The 21,055-nt window shown below is 41.0% G+C and overlaps 1 protein-coding gene across 57 annotated transcripts in view, besides 1 other annotated feature; it reads left to right on the top strand.

Moving 5' to 3' along the window:
* Nucleotides 1-21,055, top strand: part of CSGALNACT1 (chondroitin sulfate N-acetylgalactosaminyltransferase 1) — a 353,748-nt gene that overhangs the window by 162,391 nt on the left and 170,302 nt on the right. For 8 of the 57 annotated variants that reach the window (NR_148902.2, NM_001354477.2, XM_047421969.1 and 5 more), the window contains one exon: nt 10,198-10,352. The exons of 33 other annotated variants lie outside the window; for them this stretch is intronic. The gene's annotated coding sequence lies outside the window, so the exon portion shown is untranslated. Of the gene's footprint in view, nt 1-4,239; nt 4,359-7,494; nt 7,643-10,197; nt 10,367-21,055 lie in introns of all 57 variants that reach the window. 16 more of the 57 variants (XM_047421960.1, NM_001354489.2, XM_047421970.1 and 13 more) reach the window with 5 other exon arrangements.
* Nucleotides 16,068-17,267: an enhancer, noted in NCBI's record as "CDK7 strongly-dependent group 2 enhancer chr8:19435762-19436961 (GRCh37/hg19 assembly coordinates)". NCBI's record gives its function as "activates an origin of replication core promoter dependent on BRD2, BRD4, P300/CBP, MED14 and CDK7 cofactors, with strong dependence on CDK7, by STARR-seq in HCT116 cells {active_cell/tissue: HCT116}" and the evidence as "EXISTENCE:reporter gene assay evidence [ECO:0000049][PMID:35650434]".

The following is a 21,055-nucleotide window of genomic DNA, read 5'->3' as shown; positions in this document are numbered from 1 at the left end:
ATGAAAATCATATTTAAGTTCTTAAAATAAATGGTAATTTGAAATATTAGTGTTTACCCTTAAATGTTTTAATAAAGAGTTGTATGTTCTGAACTCACAAACATATATTGAGACTTGTTACTGCGTGTTGGACTTTAAATGTGCTTTGTGGTTACCAAGTACCAATTCTTGGATTGGAATCCAGTCTCTGGTGAAAGTCTCAGTCATCCACAGAGAAATGAGAAAAATAGCATGTTGTTCTCAAAGAGCTAATACTCGCTCTAAAGGGATAACCTTTACTTTGAGGTTCTAGCCTTTTTTTCTTAATAAAATTTAAAACGGGATGGTTAACAAAATTAATGATAGTTAAGTTTTAAAATTTTATTAGTAAAATAAAATGCCGATTTTTATTTAGGATTCTTAGGTACAAGAAACAGAAATCAATGAGGCTTACTTAAGCAGGAAAGGAATCTATTGGAAGAATGTCCAACAGAATTGATGGGGAGCCCGCAGACACAAAATCTCATATACGATAAAAACTTGCAGACAGGGCTACTTCTATCATCAAATGTGTTTTCTAACTTTATAACACGTGTGAATAGCCAACCTTAGGCCAAGCCTGGAGGGTAGGTATATAAAAGGAGTAAAGGTCCTGACAGTAGGAAAATGGATTGAATTAAAATTAAAGTCCGGGTGTGGTGGCTCATGCCTATAATCCCTGCACTGTGGAAGGCCAAGGTGGGTGGATCACCTGAGGTCAGGAGTTCGAGACCAGCCTGGCTGACATGGTGAAACCCTGTCTCTAGTAAAAATAAAAAAAAAAAAAAATTAGCCAGGCCTGGTGGCGTGTACCTGTAATCCCAACTACTTGGGAAGCTGAGGCAGGAGAATCGCTTGAACCTGGGAGGTGGAGGTTGCAGTGAGCAGAGATCACGCCATTGCACTCCTTGTGACTAATTTGAGTCACGACCTAAAGTTGGAATGAAGACGGTGCCTGGGTGTGGACTAGCTAATTGCATGTGGGCAGCTTGAGTTCTTTCTTTGGTAAATGGTCACCTAACTTTTCTTCCTTTGAGGTCCTTGTGTGTTTGAGTCTCAATGTTATTGTTCGTCTCACTGTAATTTGATACCACGTACTTTAACTCATATTTTTAGTATTGAGTGCCGGATTACACATATTAGGTATTCCTTGATTTCTCTCCATCATTTGGCACTTTGACCACTGTCCTTGAGACTCTCACTTCCCTTGCCTTATTTCTATATTGTGACAATAAACTCTGGTAGTTTTTTCATACACCTCTAGCTGTTTCTTCATAATCTCCTTTTCCGTGCCTTAAATACTGATGTTCTCTAGCAGTCCATGTTTTTCTGTTCTTCTCATTCTCTTTCACCTGTGTAGTTGCTTCTGTTGTAAGTGGTGAACTTTTATCCAAACTGCTGACGTCAAATATGTACCCTCAGCTCAAACCACTCCTCTGAGATGCACACTCCTGACCATCTTCATGGCATATTCCACCAGCACCCTCAATTCATGATGTCCCCAGCTGAGTTCTGATATTCTGTCTCCAAGTCACCATTCCAGTCCTTCTCCTTCCATCCTGAAGCAGCCTAGAGGGAGAGACAGGGAAGGAAAATTAAGTTTCAGCACAAGGTTGAGAAGGGTCTTGAGACAGATGGGCTTGTGGAGCAATAAGTGGGCTCTCATCCAGCCCTCAAGGGAAGGAATGTAGGAATCAGTCCCAAAAAGTGATGCTTGAGCAGAATTCTTGGAGCATGTGTAGGAATTTTCTGGGCAGAATGAGAGGAGCTGCACAGTGTCCTTTAACCTCAAGGATCTTTTTCTCTGTACTGAGTCTTCAGCTCATTTGATTTAAGATGAAAACCACCCTTCCTGATGTTATTCATACCCTGTAAAGAAATCTACAGACTTCCTCAAAAGAACAAATCATTGTACATTAATGGGAGCTGGGGCTTCCCAGCATGCAAAGGGTCATCTAGAACCTGCAGATGGCCCTAGTGTAGTCCGTGGGCCATCTGCAGCTATCTTCTGGGGCACTTGAGAGCCATTGGGCCCCAGGCCCCACTCCAGACCTACAGAGCAGAATCATTTGAGGAGCCTAGCTGTTGTGGTGCCCCAGGAGGACCACAAAATGATGCAGACTTCACTTGCATATGGTGAACCTTACCAGTAAGGTCCCTATATATCTTGTTCATTTAAGTTTGGTATCTTCAGTTCTTTTCACTGTTCCTGCACATCACTTAGTGCACAGTCTTCAGCAGGCTGATGACTGAGAACTTGCGTTTATGTGCTTTGGTACCATCACACTATTGATTGACAGTGAACATCCTGTCATTAAGCCCACGTATTTCTGATACATATCGTACATTCTTTAGCTGTGGTGCAGGCATCCTATTTAGTTACTGAAGCAGTTAGCTTCTTGTACTCCAGAGTGCCACATAGACATTTTACTTACTGAAAATATTTGGAAATAATTTCAAATTACAGATGTTCTTTGACTTAATGATGCTGTTATATCTGGATAAGCCTATTGTAAGTCAAAAATATTGTAAGTCAAAAAGCATTTAATACCCTGTTAAACCCAATGTAAAGTAGAAAAATTGTAATTTGAACCACTGTAGTGGGGTATGGTCTGTATAAGAAAGTTGCAAAAATAAGAATAGTACAAAGAACTTATGTGTTCTTTACTTAGATTGACCTGTTGTTAACATTTTACATCATTTCCCTTTTTTTAAATTTTTTTTTCATTAGAGACAGGGTCTGTCTTTGTCCCCCAGGCCAGAGTGCAGTGGTGCAGTGGCACAGTGGTGCGATCTTGGCTCACTGCAGCCTCTGCCTTCCAGGCTCATGAGATCCTCCCACCCTAGCCTCCTAAGTAGCTGGGACAGCAGGTGTGTACCACTACATCTGCCTAAATTTTTTGTATCTTTTGTAGAGACTGAGTTTTGCCATGGTGCCCACGCTGGTCTCAAACTCCTGGGCTCAAGTGATCCACCTGCCTTGAAGTCCTGGAATGCTGGGATTACAGGCATGGGCCACTATACCCTGCTCATTTGCTTTTTATCCATGCTATTTGTCTCTTTGTTCCCCCTCATGTATATACGTACATAAATAAATATATATACTATTTTATCTGAACCATTTGAGAATAAGTGTATACATCATAGCCCTTTCCTGCTAAGTGGTATATTTCCTAAGAATAAGGATATTTTCTTATATAACAAAAGTGCAAGTATCAGCATCAGTAAACTTAACATTTATTTGAATTTGCCTAATGTACTGGGTTCTGGTTTTGTAAATTGACTTAATGTCCTTTAAACTATTTTCCCCTCTAGTACTAACATCAGGGATTGCATTTAGTTATTACGTCTCTATATTCCTTTAACCTGAAGCATTTTCATAGCGTTTCTTTGTCTTTTGTGAAAATGTTTTTGAAGTACACAATCTTTTTTTTTCTTTTAAAGGCTGTTTTTCATTTTGGGTTAGATGAGTGATTCTTGTAATTGGATTCAGGTTATACATGCTGAACAGGAATTCTACATAAATGATGTGTTCTTATCAAGGTATCACATCTATTCCTCATTGACAGTGTTAATTTTGATGATGCAATTAAGGTGATGGCAGATTTTTAAAAATACTATAATATAGCAAATACTGTAATATATTAAATACTAAATATAGCTACATTTTCTCCCTAAAACTAATAAGAATTGCTTTTATCCCTTTATATTATTTTATCTTTATATTTACATTTTTTTTTGTGGAGAGGAATCTCACTATGTTGCCCAAGCTTGTCTGAAACTCCTGGGCTTAAGCGATCCTCCTGCCTCAGCCTCCCAAAGTGCTGGACTACAGGTTTGAGCCACTCCACACAGCCTAAATGCTTATTTTTTATCCCTATCAGTCAATTACTAGTCCACAATGAAATTAGCATTCTTTAACTCTCCTTTCTACAATTAAGATGGTTTGGCTTGTAGCCAAAGTTCCTACCTAATCTTTGTTACACGGTTGGACTTCAGTTGAATAAATTGAAGATGGATGAATATAAACGCCCAAAAAGGACTATAAGTGACTATCACTGATTTTTTACAGTATACTTATATTTTGTCTCATGGTGAATTATTTTGAATAGCTCACACTTCTAAGTTTAAAATGAAAATTGAAGTCTATTGGTCTTTAGCTTATAGACTGTACTTAGGGTGTATTTAAGTAATTCTTCCCTTCTGTCCTTGAACCTCCAGACATAAAGGGAGCAGTAGGCATAAAATGTGGGGAGCTGACCATCTGCCGGTCCGGTCCTGACCTTCCACTAGTAGTGAGACCAATCCAGCTCTTGCTGCTGCTGTGGCTTTGTGAGGAGGTGGGTCCAGGTCCTGATCTCTTCTTCTAAATATCAGCTCTGTGAAAAAGAACCCTTCCTATTCTCTGCCCTATTTTGGAGATTGACCAAGAGGTATAGTTGAGAGGTTCTTCACCGTTCTTGGTTCACGGTGCCATTAGTGTCTCATTAATTTTTCCAGTATCCCTTGAACAAAGGAAATACCTAATGGCTAAAAATTAAGTAGTTAGGGCTGGGCATAGTGGCTCACACCTTTAATCCTAGCACTTTGGGAGGCCAAGGTGGGCAGATCACTTGAGGTCACGAGTTCAAAACCAGCCTGGCCAACATGGTGAAACCCCGTCTCTACTAAAAATACAAAAAATTAGCCAGGTGTGGTGGTGGACACCTGTAATCCCAGCTACATGAGAGGCTGAAGCAGGAGAATTGCTTGAACCCAGAAGGTGGAAGTTGCAGTGAGCCGAGATCGCGCCAATGCACTCCAGCCTGGGCGACAGAGCGAGACTCCATCTCCAAAAAAAAAAAAAAAAAAAAAAAAAAGTAGTTAGGTCCACCAGCTATGAGTATTTATGTCCTATTGACTTAGAAGCTGTTTGAGAAAATAATACAATAAATTGGAAAAAATAATAGTTTGATCTCATTCTCAACCACAGTGAGCAGTGGGATGTGTGCATCTCTTGAGCACTGCGCGATGTCTCAACCTTGGAATTAGATTAGGCACCACCTCATTTTGTGCAGCAATTGCATTCATTACAGAAACCACTAAAAGGGCAGTTGTGCAAAGATAAGATATCGCCAAAAGGAATGTAGCTCAATCTAATGTTGACTGTATGATGTCCAATAGATGTCTACTATTACTACGTTCTGCCACAAAGTTAAAATATCTCAAAGTGCCTCTGTGAATTCCCTTTGATGCCTCAGCGTACCTCAGTGCGCAGTTTAGTAATCATCCATTTAGTTAAAAGAAATTTTCTGGGATGATTTGCAGTCGTGTCGCCCACAGCCACTCAAATATGTGTCTTAATGGCAGGTTAGGGGTTAAATAACTAAAGAGAGAGATGACAACGTCACCAAACTTGGGCAGGAGGCAGAGATAATAAGATGACATTTCAACCTAATTGGTAGGATGTGACAATTCTTTCTTTCATTTATAATATGTCTAACCTAGAGAGGTCTGATTTTAACTTCTTGGGCAGTATTGCATCATGTCTGCTCATCAGTGAAGAAGAGAATGACTGTTTAACTACACTATGTATGTGATAAGATTTTCTTACTTAACCTTTTTGGTTTTTTTCACATATTCTTTCCACAAACTGCCTATTTTCTGTGGATTAATGATTTGGCTGCAACATATTTTGTAATTATCCACTTCAGGCATTAGAAGGATGCTGTAAATCTTCTCAAAACCAGGACTGTACTAACATACCTTTTTGTAACAAGCTACAATCAAATTAGCTCAAATTAGCTAAATCCTAGTAGAAATGAGATCTAGTTGATAAGATTATTTTAATTTCAGTTACTTGAGCTTTGGGTATGAAAAAACTTTCCTAGACTGTGCACGGTGGCTAACACCTATAATCCCAGCACTTTTGGAGGCCAAGGTGGGAAGGTCACTTGAGGTCGGGAGTTCAAGACCAGCTTGGCCAACCCAACGTGATTAAACTCCATCTCTACTAAAAATACAAAAATTAGCCAGATGTGGTGGTGCACTCCCGTAGTACCAGCTACTCAGGAGGCTTAGGCAGGATAATTGTTTGAACCTGGGAGACGGAGGTTGCAGTGAGCTAAGATCGTGCCAGTGCACTCCAGCCTGGGTGACAAAGCAAGACTCCATCTCAAAAACAAACAAACAAAAACCTTCCTAAAAGGAACTGGGGGACATGTTGAAAAATTAGGTAGCTTTAGAATGATAACTAGAAGCTGCCTGCTTTACCTAGTCTGACGTTTTCAGAGGAGAGGATGTTGGCAGATGGTTTTCTCCTCAAAGAAACGCCCACTGCTTTACCCAGCCTACTGCAAATGAATAGAAATCAGGGATCATAACACCCTAGACAATCCTAGAAAGAATGGAATAGCATGGCATATGGGAAAGGACCACAAACATAGTCAGCCGATCTTTGCTGTCAAGAGCTCCGTGACCCTGGGATAGGCTTGTCCTGTGACATAAAGGATGTTCACCATTCCTGGGCCCACTCAGTGATTGTGTCAACCAGAATGCTTCCCCACCCCCACACATTTTCAAACACCCCTCAACTACTATGCATTGAGTAATGTGTCAGGCTCCAATCCAGTACTTAATGAACAGATGAGCAAACTGAGACTCAGAGACGTAAAAAGAGGAGCTAAGGTAGTATATGGAAGTACAGCTAGGATCTGGGTCTTCTGCCCTCTCGCATCCCCCATATCCTGTCTTGAACTCATGTCATGCACAGAGCAGCTGGAATAATTTCTTTCAGTGCCAACCTTGCAAAAAAATTGACAAAAATCCAATTAACTTGATATTTATTTGGATTCCTAGATCTAGAATGAAAGCTTCATGAAGGCGGGGGTTCTTATCTCTTGTTCACTGCTGTATTTCCAGCTCCTGAAATACTGCCTGGTGTATAAGAGGACCTCAGTAAATTTGTCTATTGAGTGCATGGGCACACTGCAATTTATGGGCAATGCTCACGAGTGATATTTACATTTAGGTAATCAGTATTTGTATAGGATATAAATCACTGAATTCTTTCTGAGTTTGCTTGGATGAACTTACTTCACAAGTTACTTGGAATCAAATAATACTCTACAGAAAAAATCATATTTGCAATGAGTTCTCACTGGCTAGAATATGATATTAGGAGTATTAATATGATACTGATAACTTTGTCATTGCCAATTGAATACCCTGCCTATGGCATTTTTCATTGGTGTGTATGTATATATATGTGTTTGTGTGAGTATATGTATATATCTTTTTTTTTCTTTTTTTTGCTGAGGGGATGGGGGACAGGGTTTCATTCTTGTCACCTAGGCTAGAGTGTAATGGTGTGATTTCTGCTTACTGAAACCTACCTCCCCACCCCATACTGAAGCAATTGTCCTGCCTCAGTCTCCCAAGTAGCTGGGACTGTAGGCATGCATCACCTTGCCCAGCTAACTTTTGTATTCTTTATAGAGACGGCGTTTTGCAACGTTGACCAGGCTGGTCTCAAACTCCTGAGCTCAGGTGATCTGCCCACCTCAGCCTCCCAAAGCACTGGGATTACAGCCGTGAGCCACCATTGCTGGACTGTTATTGTATATTTGTAATGCTGATCACAAAGGTATCACAAATATGAAACCCATCATAGCTGGAAGTTTATTACTTGTGTTAAGAATTTAAAATTCTGACTCTCCAAAGGAGAAACAAGAAGAAGAAAGCCTTCCCCTTTGATAACTGTGGCATTCCAGGCCCCGTAGGTTGGAGAGTACCAGTTTCTCTTGTAATGCAGGAGTATCTATGCCCTTGCCACTAGCTGTTCATGTAGAATAATATCATAAAGGGCATCTGTATGTAATAAGGTACTTATAGGTTTGTGGTATTGCTAAGAACATGAAAATGTCTGGTAACCTTATTCCAGGAAATTTAGTGATGTGTGCATAGTCTCATCTTCATTCATAACTTGATAGTTATTAGTCATGACTTAGGTTTGTTTATATTGGGACCAAGTTAGAAAAGGATTGAGATGTTTGGAGCCCCATCCTAGGTGGGGGAGGGTGGGACACAGCATCCTTACCACCCATGACATTTCTCAACTTAGGAACAATGGCCTCACCCAGTAGCCTTTGAGAAGCACTGCATTTGGGGAAAATCTGATTCCAAGTTTTGCTTACAGCTCACTACCAGTCGTAGACTAAGCCAGTGTTTCTGAACCTTTGATTTGGAGCTTTAATAAAACTACAGATGCCCAAGCCTATTCCCAGAGTTTCTGATTCTGTGTGTCTTGGGCAGTGCCAGTTACCTGCAATTTTGAAAAGCATCCCAGGAGATCGTAATGAGTCTGTGAATGGAGTCAGTTTGCAGCGATTGCTGTTTTTGGTCCTGCAGCCCTGACTGTGCAGCCGTGTGCAGTCAGCAAAGCCCTAAGGCCAATAACTCAAACACATTTTTAAGTGAATGTTTGCACCATACTGACCTTCCAGGAAACCTCTTGAAATCATTATTGAAGGACAAGCACATGAGACCAGCGTTTCCCAGAGTGTTTCCTGGAGATTACTAGAGTTGTGAGATATTTTTCAAAGAAGAATTTCGTGATCAAATAAGTTTGGGAAAATACTATGTAATGGATTCCTCTCTGGTAGGGTACGATGTACCTGAGCCTAGGACGATTCTGGGAGTTCTAAAGTAAAGACTTGTTTTGTTTAACCTCTGGGTTCCCAGTTTTCTTCTCCACAGAATCCATTTCCAGCTGGACATTTCTCAACCTTCTTAGGTACAATATCCCACCCAGCAGTCTATGAGAAGTACTGCATTTTGGGAAAAATCAGGAAAACCTGATTCCAAGTCTGACTTACACTTCATTGCCAGTCATAGACTAAGCCAGTGTTTCTCACCCTTTGATTTGGAGCTTTAAAAAAATCTACAGATGCTCAAGCCCATCCCCAGAGTTTCTGATTCTGTGTGTCTGGGGTGGTGCCAGTTACCTGCAATTTTGAAAAGTGTCCCAGGGGATCTTATATGTTTTAGAGGTTGAGAATCACTACATTAGGAAGAGTTGTCTAAGTTCTTCTTCTTCTTTTTTTTTTTTTTTTCTATAAGACTACGGTGCGTGTCTCCACTGTGTTTTTGTTTGTGTTTTCTGAGATGGAGTCTTGCTCTGTTGCCCAGGCTGGAGTGCAGTGGCATGATCTTGGCTCACTGCAGCCTCCCCATCACAGGTTCAAGCGACTCTTCTGCTTCAGCCTCCCAAGTAGCTGGGATTACACTCACCACCACGCCCGGATAATTTTTGTGTTTTTAGTAGAGACGGGGTTTTGCTATGTTGGCCAGGCTAGTCTCGAACTCCTGACCTCATGTGATCTGCCCGCCTTGCCCTCCCAAAGTGCTGGGATTACAGGCATGAACCACCACACCCAGCCCCATTTTACAACTCTTTTTGATGTTAAGCATGTTTCCTAGAGGGAATTGGTTTCATGTTGAAAGAAAACTGAGGTGATATGGGGACTCTGAGGTCCTTAGCCTCCTGGGGGCTCTGCCTGCTGTTCCCAGCCTGGGCATCGGCACAGTTCCATTGCAAATCTGGACTTGCAGGTTAATTTGAGATGTAAAGAAGCGGTAAAGAGGGGCAGCACTGTTGAAGGGGTTTCCTGAGCTCCTCAGGGCAGATGCTACTGGGACCTGGAACTCTGGTTGGAAAATACAAATGATAATTTGGTAACATGGAGGTTGAATTGAAGCTTTCTTGGAGAAACGTTCTTTGTATGGGTTCTTCTCATTTTACACCTCATGGCCTAACACCTTCTAGAATCTCCATTCCTCAGCACCATGCTGTGAGAAGCCAGGCAGGAAGTGGCACAGTAAGATTAATGGGTTTTTACAATTACCAATCAGGGAATTAATAGGGAGATAGTAAAGGGGTGTATCACAGCCACAGGCTTCTCTGATGGTTGTTTTCCAAGAAAGAGCTCAAATGACAACATCCAAGGCTGAGATGAAGTCGGAGGAATCTACCTATGCTGTGGAGATTGTCTCATCACTTGTGGAAAATGCTCAGGTAGCTGTAGGTTTAATCAGAGGCAAGAGAATTAAGGTTGTGCTTTTGTGGCCCATGAGTGCTTTGATGAGGACGTTTGTGTCTTTCCTTCTTTCGGTCCCGTGTGGTCACTCACCTTGCCACAGAAGTTATGCCAGGATTTACTAGAGAGTGTCAACTCAACCAGCAAGCGGCTCCTTCGGCTTAACTTGTGGTTGGAGGAGAGAACCTTTGTGGGGCTGCGTTCTCTTAGCAGTGCTCAGAAGTGACTTGCCTGAGGGTGGACCAGAAGAAAGGAAAGGTGAGCCAAGCACTGTGAGTGTTCAAGCACTATGTAATCTATTTTACGTATGTAATTCTCTCATGTATTCTCTTTAATAACCCTGGGAAGTACTTCTTAGCAGTGCTTTATGGAATAGATGAGACCCAGCGGTTCAGGGAGATAAGATAACTTGTCCAGGGTTACACAGCTAGACAGTGATAGGACTAGAATTCAGACTTAAGTCTATTTGGGTTCTAAAGTCCACTTTGAGGTCCCCCTGCCCCATCCTGCTGTCTACGGTTGGTACCCAGGACAGTGTCACCATCCCTTGCTTCAGAGTATCTACTTTGCTGTTGGTCTGGATGACAAGCCCTTAATTCTGTTAGGAGAAAAATCATAAAGAGATGCTTTATAACTGCCTTATAACTGATGGTTTAATGCTTACTTTGTACTGCTATCAGCCTTGCACTGCAGCTGTCAGCAGTCATTCTAGGACATACTGTGAAAGAAAACAATATCATAGCCAGTTAGAGGATCCCTGCATTCATCTTCGCTAAGTGTATTTAGATTATACTTTTGATTTCTGAATAGTCAATTAATGGTATTTATTAGCAATACTTTATGCCTAGAATTTAGTGGCGTTAGCTAGAATTTTATAATGGCATAAACAGTATCCTGGAGGAAATAGGATATCACCATGTAATACAAAGCTAACATTAGTAAAATAAATATTAATCCAAGGTTAACCATTAGCCTAAGCTTTCTCTTAATTCAAATTCCAAGCTAAGTCTTACTGTGTCAAAAAAAAATATTTCAGCCCAGTTTGACATTCTAATGTGAAAATCACCATAGACTTGCAAAGGCCCAGTATGAGTAATATTAACTGGCTGCATAACTTAATTACAGAGTACCAATAACATTGCCTGGGACCACAGGATTCTAAGCTTTCAGGCTTAGGGATCACAAGATTTCTCAAATGTTAGCTCTGGGAGGTGATTGTTTAGTTAGACTATTACGTTCTGCAGATGAAAAAACAGCAGAGGTAGGTGATCTTTCAAAAGTCACAAGTCTGGGTGGATCACAGAAATGGCCTCTTTACTACTTACTTTGTTACTTCAGTGTTGCCTTTAATTGGAGTATTTTTAAGAAACACTTGGGCTGAGTCTATGAATGTAGCAGACTATTAGATGTGGCCCAGTTTGTGCTTATGTGTTATTCAATCTCAACTGAGCAACATAAACATGCCGCAAAGGCTGCAGGGTGCATAGAGTGATGGCTGTCAGTATTCAGCCTCATTGGTCTGACTTCTCTCAAACCCAAAGTATGAGTATGTGGGCAACAGATTTGGGAAGCATTTGAAATATTATTCTAATTGCTCAGTTACTGCAGAGCAATCATTATTTTTTTGTTGGCAGTTCCAACCCCAAAGTGCAGGCTTTGTGGCTGATGCAAGGTAGCAGTGAGAAGAAGAATGAAGAGTATAAGCTGAAACTTAGTGTTTGAAAATGAGCATAATCCTGAGGAATGCTTGTCATCAGAGTAATGGTTGATGATGTTAATGAAAATTGAATGTACTTCTCTGCTGCTATGTTGTTGTGAATTATACTTGCTTATTAGTAGAAAATACTGAGATTTGGTAGCCTAACACATTTTGGGAGAGTGTCAGTTAGAATGGAATCAAATGACTGTACTTTTAATGCCAGAAGCTGATCTGGTACTATATATAGGCCATAATTTTGCATCAGATCCAATGCAGCTTAGGATTTTTTCTTCTCAAGACATTCCCAGATAAACAAAAACTGAGGGAGTTTGTTACCCTTAGACCTGTCCTACAAGAAATCCAAAGGAACTTCTGAGGGCTGAAATGAAAAGATACTAGAGAATAACTCAAAGATGTACAAAGAAAAAAGTACTATCACTGTAGATAAATACATGGACAATTATAAAACCTAGCATTGTTGTAGCAATGGCTTGGAACTCTACTTTTTGTCTTCTACATGATTTAAGAGAATAATGGATTTTTTTTTAAAAAAAGGTATTGGTTTATGTTTTTGGATACATAATATACGAGGATATAATATTTCTCCTTAGCTTTACTGAGGTATGATTGACAAATAAAAATTGCATGTGTTTAAAGTGTAAAAAGAAAAAGAATTTTTTTCTCCAGTGTATATATGTGTCCCTGACAGTGGTTGTCAGTGGTCTAATTTGGCTATTAGCCCATTCCATTTACTGGGACTTCAAGCTAAGAAATTATTTGAGGTACTTCAAAATGGGACTTGTTGAAATGGCTGTCTTTCTCCAAGTGAGCCTGTCATTTGGTGCTCTTTTTACTACAATTAATAGCAAACCCAGTTCATACTGGCTCTAGCAAATAAGAGAATCTGTTGTTGGCTTATATACATACACAGGGGCTACTGATTTCTAGGATACCTTAGTCCAGGGACTCAGATAGCTTGGCTTTGCTTTTTATGGTGGCTTCCTTTTTAGACAATGATAAAAAAAAGTCTGTAGCATCTCTAAATTTAAGTCAAGCTGAAGAGTGAGCATGCCTCTCTATGTCTTTCCAGCTGATCCCAAGATTGACTCTCATTGGCTTTGACTGGGTCATGTGTCTATCTTTAAACCAATCTCTTTGACAGGGTGGATTGAATTACTCAACTGACCAGCTCTTAGTCATGTGTATCACTCCTGAAGCCAGATGATTTTCTTCACAGCTGAACTACAGAAAATGTTGGTTTTACTAGGTGCTCTCAGGCTCTTTAAATAAAAATACCAGGACTTTGAGGGGAAATAAGCAATAAAGGTTCTTTTCCTCAACTTGGACCATACAGTTTTGCTAATGTACATTGTAAGTTTTATATTATCTAAGTAGTCTTTCATTGGAAGTGTTGATTTATTTTTTCCTTACCAGGTTTGTCTGTTGGTGTCTTTGAATTATCTGTGAATACTTTAATCATGTTCTTCTAATATGCTGCATTCACCAGGACAGTATTTAAAATCCCAGTGAATGGAGGAATATAGTCACTTGCAGTGCCTAGTTATAGCCACGGCCCTCCTGAGAAAGGGCCAAGTTACAGAACGTTACTATCTGCAAGGTGATACATATAATCTGTCTATCTATAAATTATATATTTTTTGTCCCAGCAGTTCTAGGACTCATTTGGGTAACAGAGATAGCTCAGATACAGCCTGGGCTGGTAGGTGATCATCTTTAAGAAAAATTGCAACCTTTACATCTGAATTATTTTCCTGTTAACTAAGATGAATAATTTTCTAAATTGAGAAAGTCAGAATAAATTTGTTAATCCTTTGAAATTATAGTGAGCTCACCATTTAAAAATACCTACAACAGCAGCTTTCCGTCTACATGTTAAGAGACTAATGTAACCATATCAAGATAATCCGTTTTTATTCTCTGCTTTATGGGCCTTGGGTCCCCAGAAAGTGAAATTATGAGTATGTATTAATATGTTGCTGATACTCTGTAGCTGATGTATTTTACATGTTCATTCTAGGAGTTAGAGAAGCCCAGACTTCAATTAAAATATTTTTATACAGTAAGTGCCAGTTTTTTTTGTTTTGTTTTGTTTTGTTTTTAGACAGAGTCTCACTCTGTCACCAGGCTGGAGTGCAGTGGCACGATCTCGGCTCACTGCAACCTCCGACTCCCTGGTTCAAGCGATTCTCCTGCCTAAGCCTCCCGAGTGACAGGTTTTAAAAACAAAACAAAATTTGTGTTTCACAATTAATATGTTGCACAATTCTGCCACAAATATAACATTTTAATTTGGGGAGTTTAAGAGGACATTATTTGAACTTTATCCTTAGTTTTACTAATTGCAAAGTAGGTGAGAGGGGATATCAAAATAGCATAATTGAGTATGAAACTATGAGTCAGGCCTGAATATGCTATTTATATCTGGCAGTATTACCTGCTCTCCTATTGCTCCCCAATCCTAGCTGCTTTTAAGATTTTATATTTGATTTTCACAGTTTTACTGTGATGGCTTTTAGGTATATTTTATTTATATTTCTCCTAATTGTGGTTCATGGAGCTTGTTGGATCTCAGGCTTGATACCTTTCATCAGTTTTGGAAAACTCCTTGTAGCTATCTGTGTAGCCGTTGCTTCTTTCTCATTATTCTCTTTTCCTCTTGGAATAATAGTTACACGTACATTACTTTTTCCTGTCTTAAATGTGACTTAAGCTGTTTCTCATATTTTCAATTCTTTGTTTTTCTCTCTGTGCTTCTGATTAGATTTTCTTCTGCTGACACCTGTTTCACTCCAATAAAACTTTTCTGTGTCTATCCTTTTAAACCTATCTATTGAGTTTTTAATGTAATTATTGTATTTCAGTTTTCCTCTTTTTTATAGAAGCTAGGTATCTGGTAAGATTCTCTATCTTTAATATATTTTCTTGAACACAGTAATTGTAGTTATAGTAAAATGCTATTTTGATGAATAAAATATCTAGATTACCAGTGAGTCTGTGTATTACCAGTTTTGTATCTTGGTTTTGGTCATTTGATCTTGTTTTCTATCAGGCTTTGTAATTTTTTATTAAGTGCCTGATACTGTATGTGAACATTTTTAGGCTCTCTGGATGCTGTTCTATTCCTCCAAGGAAGATCTATTTCTTTTCTGTTGGCAGTAGGATAAAGCTATTCATCTAGATTAAATCAACCATTATGATAATTGGAGTGAAGTTTCAAGTTAGTCTGTTTTCATTTGGTTTGTTTCTAAGGTATAAGCCATTGAGAGTCTCAGCAGAAAGCCTGAAGTATTTACCAGGACTCTGTCCATACTAGGCCCTAAATGTCAACTCTTAAGTTGAGTGCCATGGTCATAAAGTCAGCTTAGCGTTTTAGCCTCTTAGCAGAAGCTTTCTGTTTATTTTCTCCTCCTTTTACAACTCACAGCTTTGGAGTGCAAAGGCTGGAAAGAATGTTGGGTTCATTTTTCTGAAGCTGTCTTTTCTCTCGGATCTTTGTGCCTCACATTCTGGCTGCATTGGAAGTCCTAGATTTCATTTTTCAGCTCCTCATCCCAGTAAGACTGCTCCAGGCTTTGGGCTGCAGCTGTCTGCTCGTCCAGTGCAACCTGGCCAGGAATTAGTGAATGCTCTGAAAAGAGCAAGCAGTAGAAAGGAGGGTCTCACTTCAGGGTGTTTTCCTTAACCCCTCAAGTTTTGTGTGCCTTTATTGAAGACCAAAGTCTGCAAACAGCAAACAGCAGCTATTTCTCCTCCTCTTCCTCCTCCTCCTTTCTGTCCTTTCCCTTCCTTCTTCTTCATCCAGCTTTTGTAATTGTTCTCAGCGGGAGACTTAGTGTGATATTACCATTACTTTTTGTAATTCTTGTGCAATCCAAGTTTTTCCATGACTGCAATACATATGGTAGTATTATCTATTTGTATCAAGGTTTTCCTATGGGAAAAGAGGGTAGGCAAATACCATAACTGTTTTTAGGTTAAAATCATGGTATATGCTATTAGCATTCATCCTTTAACTTTCTGTTTATTCAGTGTTGAACATGCTAGAACCTAAGGACAATGCTGTGAACTAAATAGGCATAATCCCTGCCCTTGGCTGAGGATCTTATAGTATGGTAGAGACAAATACCTATGTGTCCGTCTCTATCTCTACTTAAATCTACATTTTTATATAATTACATGTTATTGTAAGAGCTACAAAGGAAAAGTAAAATGAATTATGAAAGAGACTTAGAAGAGTGACTTAATTTACACCAGGGGAAAGGTTTTAGAGAATGTGCCCCTTTGGAAGTGTTGGCTGAGACCTGTAGTGAAAAGCAATTACCCAGAGCCTTCTAGAAGAAACAGCACATGTGCTGCAGACCCTGTCAGCCAAGAAGTTGGTTCATTTAAAGAACTGAAAAGATGCCAGTGAGGCTTTCAGCAGTGTAGAGGACATGGAGGGAGTGGGAACAGAGGAAAGTGACGTGAGCTGAATTTGGAGCTGGGGCCAGATCAAAGTGGGCCTTTTAGTCCATGCTGAGGATTTTGGAATTTCTCCTAAGTGACATGGGAAGCCGTCGCAGGATTTTGAGTATGGCACTTTCATGGTTGAAAGTTATCACTCTGGACTGGGTGTGGTGGATAGGCTCAAGTTCATTTTTACATAAATGTTTTGGTGTTAAAACTTCCTGAATGAGTCAGGGTGCTGTGACTCATTACTGGATTCCTAGCACTTAAGGATGTGAGGCAGGAGGATCACTTGAGGCTAGGAGTTTGAGACCAGCGTGGTCAACGTAGCAAGAACTCCAAGAGAAAGTATGATGTAAGGAAGGAGAGGGTGGTTTGCAGGGTCGACGTGGTCTTGATATCAGATAGGATGAAGACTCAAAAATGTTGGGATTTGGCAATATGGAAATCAGGGGTGACCTTGGGAAGGACAGTTTGAGTGGAGTGGTAGAGGCAGACGTCAGAAGGTCAGACTGAGTCAGACTGAGGAATCGGGAGAGAGAAAATAGAGACAGCTTGGGTCAGTGCCTTTTTAAGAAACTTGGTATAGGTCTAGAGGGAGGTGGGTAGCGCAGTTTAGAGTAGTATCTAACACACCCACAAATGTAAGTTCATAGCGAATACAGGGATGGTAGGATCTGCAGTAAAGCAGTTCAGAATCTAATCATTTTGCTTGTGTATTAAAGCACAGGCTAAGCTACCCCCAAATACAGTCACTTAAATAAAAGTTAATATTTTTCACTTAAAGTCAACAGAGGATGATTCACTCCACACGCAAGAGAGGCTATAGGAAAATAAATGTCTTCTTCCTCCAGGCAGCAGGATCACAGGTGGCTGATTCCTAAGTACAGGAAGGATGTACACAAAGTCCCAGAGCATGACAAATGGTCACTCCAGTGAGCCATCCTAAAGTCCTCTCACTTGACTTTGTGCTGGCCTAGCTCACATAATAGGGCTGGACTTTTGAGAGTGATAATGCTAGAAATGGTGATAAATATTTATTTTAAATGCAAATGGCATAGTGACTAGCTAGGGGGATAGAATTTGATGATGGCATCATTGGTAGCCCACATGTTACCTTATGCCTCAGGGACGACCTGCGGTGCCACCTGCGCCTGGACCACGAAGGTTGCAGCTGATCTGGAACATGTTCCAGCCCATCTGCTGAGTGAAAGCAAGCTGTGGTGCTGGAGTAATTTTTTCCATTGCTCCAGTCAGTGTGGCTACACCTATGGGATCCAGTTATTCCGCATGCCAACTATCTCTTTATTTTGCTTTTGAATTAACTGTGGCAGAGGGCTGGACTGATGTCTCATGTGATGTGATGCCAATAGTTTGGCTCAGCCATTGGCTGTGAGTGCTATAGGGGACCTGGGAGGCATCTCAGCCGCCTCTCTAACTTTACAGTTTTACAGTTAAAGACACAGTATTAACTCCAAAGTTGCTGCAGCTTCTTACTCAAGTCAGACGGCTGGAAAGCAGCAAGTCCTGGACCCAAACCCATGCCTTGTTATTTTAAACCCAATGGGAGTGTGTCTTATTTGCCCTTATATTTTCGTTGTCTGGCATGCTAACCTGATACCTACTAGATGCAACAGGATGGTTGGAGTTGCTAATTAAAATTTTCCTTTCTTGTCTATTTTTAATTTTTTTTTTTTTTGAGATAGGGTCTTGCTGTCACTGAGGCTGGAGTGCGGTAATGCAATTGCAGATCACTATAACCTTGAATTCCTAGGCTCAAGAAATCCTCTCACTTCAGCCTCCTGGGTAGCTGGGACTACAGATGTGCGCCACCATACTAGGCTTTTTTTTTTTTTGTAGAGGTGGGGTCGGGCTTCGTTGTCTAGGTGCTGCTCTCAAACCCCTGGCCTCAAGCCGTCCCCCTGCCTTGACCTCCCAAAGCGCTGGGATTACAGGCCTGAGCCACTATGCCTGGCTACTAATTGAGATTTTCTTATGCCACACGACTCATCCCCAGCAGTAGAGCTAGTATCGCGTGGAGAACAAAATTATGAATTCTCCAAGGCCAAGCACAACTCTCAGTCTATTTCTAGGTGCAAGAAGGGGCACTGGTTTGTCAGGCTTTGATGAACGACACATAAGAGGAGATCTTCTTTCTTTGTGAATAAATACATGTTACCCTCTCTCTCTTTCCCAAAGGGGAGCAGAGTCTAAGGGGGTTTGGATGTTTCCATGCTTTTGAGGTGGGTGTGGAGGGCGAGAGGGTTGCTCATGTAATTTGCGGGGTGTCTAAGAGGGGGGTAAGCGAGCTGTGTGTTTTCTTATTGGATGGCCAGTGATTGCACTTGCTGACCTGCCCCAGTGCTAATGGAGAGCAGTAAGGTGTGGCAGTATAACCAGTTGCACAGGAAACAAGTCAGCCTCCTCAAATTCATGATCTCTGAGAGATACACTAGTAGGACCCCACTCACAAGCGGGCCCAAGTATTGGCTCTGGCCTGCAGAGGTAAGACTGATGGGGCAATCAGCAGGTGGGTTAGAAAGGCTGTCATATCACAGCAGGGTAGCATGGGGCTGCCTGTCGGGGGTCTGCTGGATAATGTGGTGAGATCTAATGAGAGATCATTAGTGCCCAGAGGAGGGGACTGAGGTCCCTGCCAGCAAGACTCGTTGGGGGTCTCCATCCATATCATCTGTGATGACCACCGAGAAGGTGACAGCAATCTTATCACCACTGCAGCAGGTTCATGTGAAAGATTAGGAATAGGCCGGGTGCAATGGCTCAAGCTTGTAATCCTAGCACTCTGAGAGGCTGAGGCGACTGGATCATCTGAGGTCAGGACTTTGAGACCAGCCTGGCCAACATAATGAAACCCCGTCTCTACTAAAAATACAAAAATTAGCCAGGTGTGAAGGTGTGCCTGTAATCCCAGTATTGGGGAGGCTGAGGCAGGAGAATCTCATGAACCTGGGAGGTGGAGGTTGCACTGAGCTGAGATTACCCCACTGCACTCCAGCCTGGGCGATAGAGCAAGACTCTGTCTCAAGAAAACAAGACAACAAAAAAAGTGTAGGGATAGCAACAAAGAAATGACTGCTCACTACTGAGGGAAACATCCTCTCCAGCCTCTCTGGGCTCTATCATCAGAGGAGCCTGCACAGAGAACAGGGATGGGGTGTGGCTAGCAGACAGCACCCACTCCCGTCTCTCGGCCCACCTACCTCTTCCTGTCTGAGCCATTAGACCACCTGCTTGGCCTGCTCTGCAGAAAGGAAGGGGAACTTAGAATTGGGCATAAGATTGAAATGTGTACCTTTTTTAAAGAAGAAGTCTTTTTATTATTAAAATATCTCAAAAGATAGAAAAGTATGGTACAATGAACTCTCATGAACCTATCACTCAACTTCATTGATGATTAACATTTTTCCAATCTTACTTCATCTAAGCCTCCGCAACTTTTATTTTGTTTCTTGAAAAAAATCAGGGGAATATTTTAAAGTAAATCCAAGCCGTTCTGCTCTTTCACACGTAAATACTTTTGTTTATACTTCTAACAGATGAAAACATTTTTTGATAAGCCATTATACTATTACTACTTCTAACAAAATTTCTCAGTATCCTAGAATACCCAGTGAATATTCAAATTATTACAGTTGTTTCAAAGGTTTTGTTTTGTTTTGTTTTAACACTTGCTTTTCTGATGTTTGTTTGATGGAGGAGCAGGATTATTTTTCCTATTGAAAGTTTTACCTGCTTAACGATTACTTCCAAAAGATGTCTATTTAATGTGTTTCTCTATCTCTGGTATTACCTGCAAGCTAGTAGGTAGATTTAGAAACTTGATTAGATTCAGCTTCAGTTATTTTTAGGCAAGAATACTTAATAGGTGGTGCTGTATATACTGGACTATTTTCATAACCCAAAAAATTAAGTGTTCTGGGATGGACTGAGAATTAAGGTTGCTAACTTCCCAGGAGGAAAAGGCGACAACCAGAGTGCAGCTAGTGGTAGCAATTATTGGAAAAAATAAAACCACAATGTTCAGCCTCTTCAGATACCCTGGTTATAGAGGAGAGGTGTAATGGAATTTTAAAATTGCATTTTGCACTAGAGATCCAAATTCAATAACTGTGTGAGTTGGCAGACAAGGCAGTTTTGAGAACCAGTCCCACAGCTCTAAAACGGTCATATTATGGAGAGGAGAGAGGAATTTTTTTTTTTTTTGAGACGGAGTCTCGCTCTGTTGTCAGGCTGGAGTGCAGTGGCGCTATCTCACCTCACTGCAACCTCCACTTCCAGGGTTCAAGAGATTCTCCTGCCTCAGCCTCCCGAGTAGCTGAGACTACAGGTACCCGCTACCATGTCCAGCTAATTTTTGTGTTTTTAGTAGAGACGGGATTTCACCACATGGGCCAGGGTGGTCTTGATCTCCTCAGGAGACCTCGTGATCTGCCCGTTTCAGCCTCCCAAAGTGTTGGGATTACAGGTGTGAGCCACCACATCTGGCCGGAGAGAGGATTTTAAGAGATTTTAGACAGTCTGCCATCTTATCCCAAACCTTGTGGAATGGCAGTAGGGCTCCTTGAAGCACAGTTCCATGGTGTACAGGGCTGGAGGGCACTGCCAGGGTCGGACTCCTGAACCTCAGGCAGCACGAGGTGGGCTGGCTGTGGCTTTAGTGCCAGTTCCACACCATATGTGTGGCTGCCCTGTTACTGTCCACCTGCTCTGCCAGCATTTGTTGTGCAAAATGAGGCTATGTATTTATTGTTCCTGCATGATAGGTGAGCCTCTT

Source organism: Homo sapiens, chromosome 8, assembly GCF_000001405.40.
Source record: "Homo sapiens chromosome 8, GRCh38.p14 Primary Assembly".
NCBI lineage: Eukaryota > Metazoa > Chordata > Mammalia > Primates > Hominidae > Homo > Homo sapiens.
Note: the sequence above shows the minus strand (reverse complement) of the source record. Positions and strands in the feature narration are given on the sequence as shown.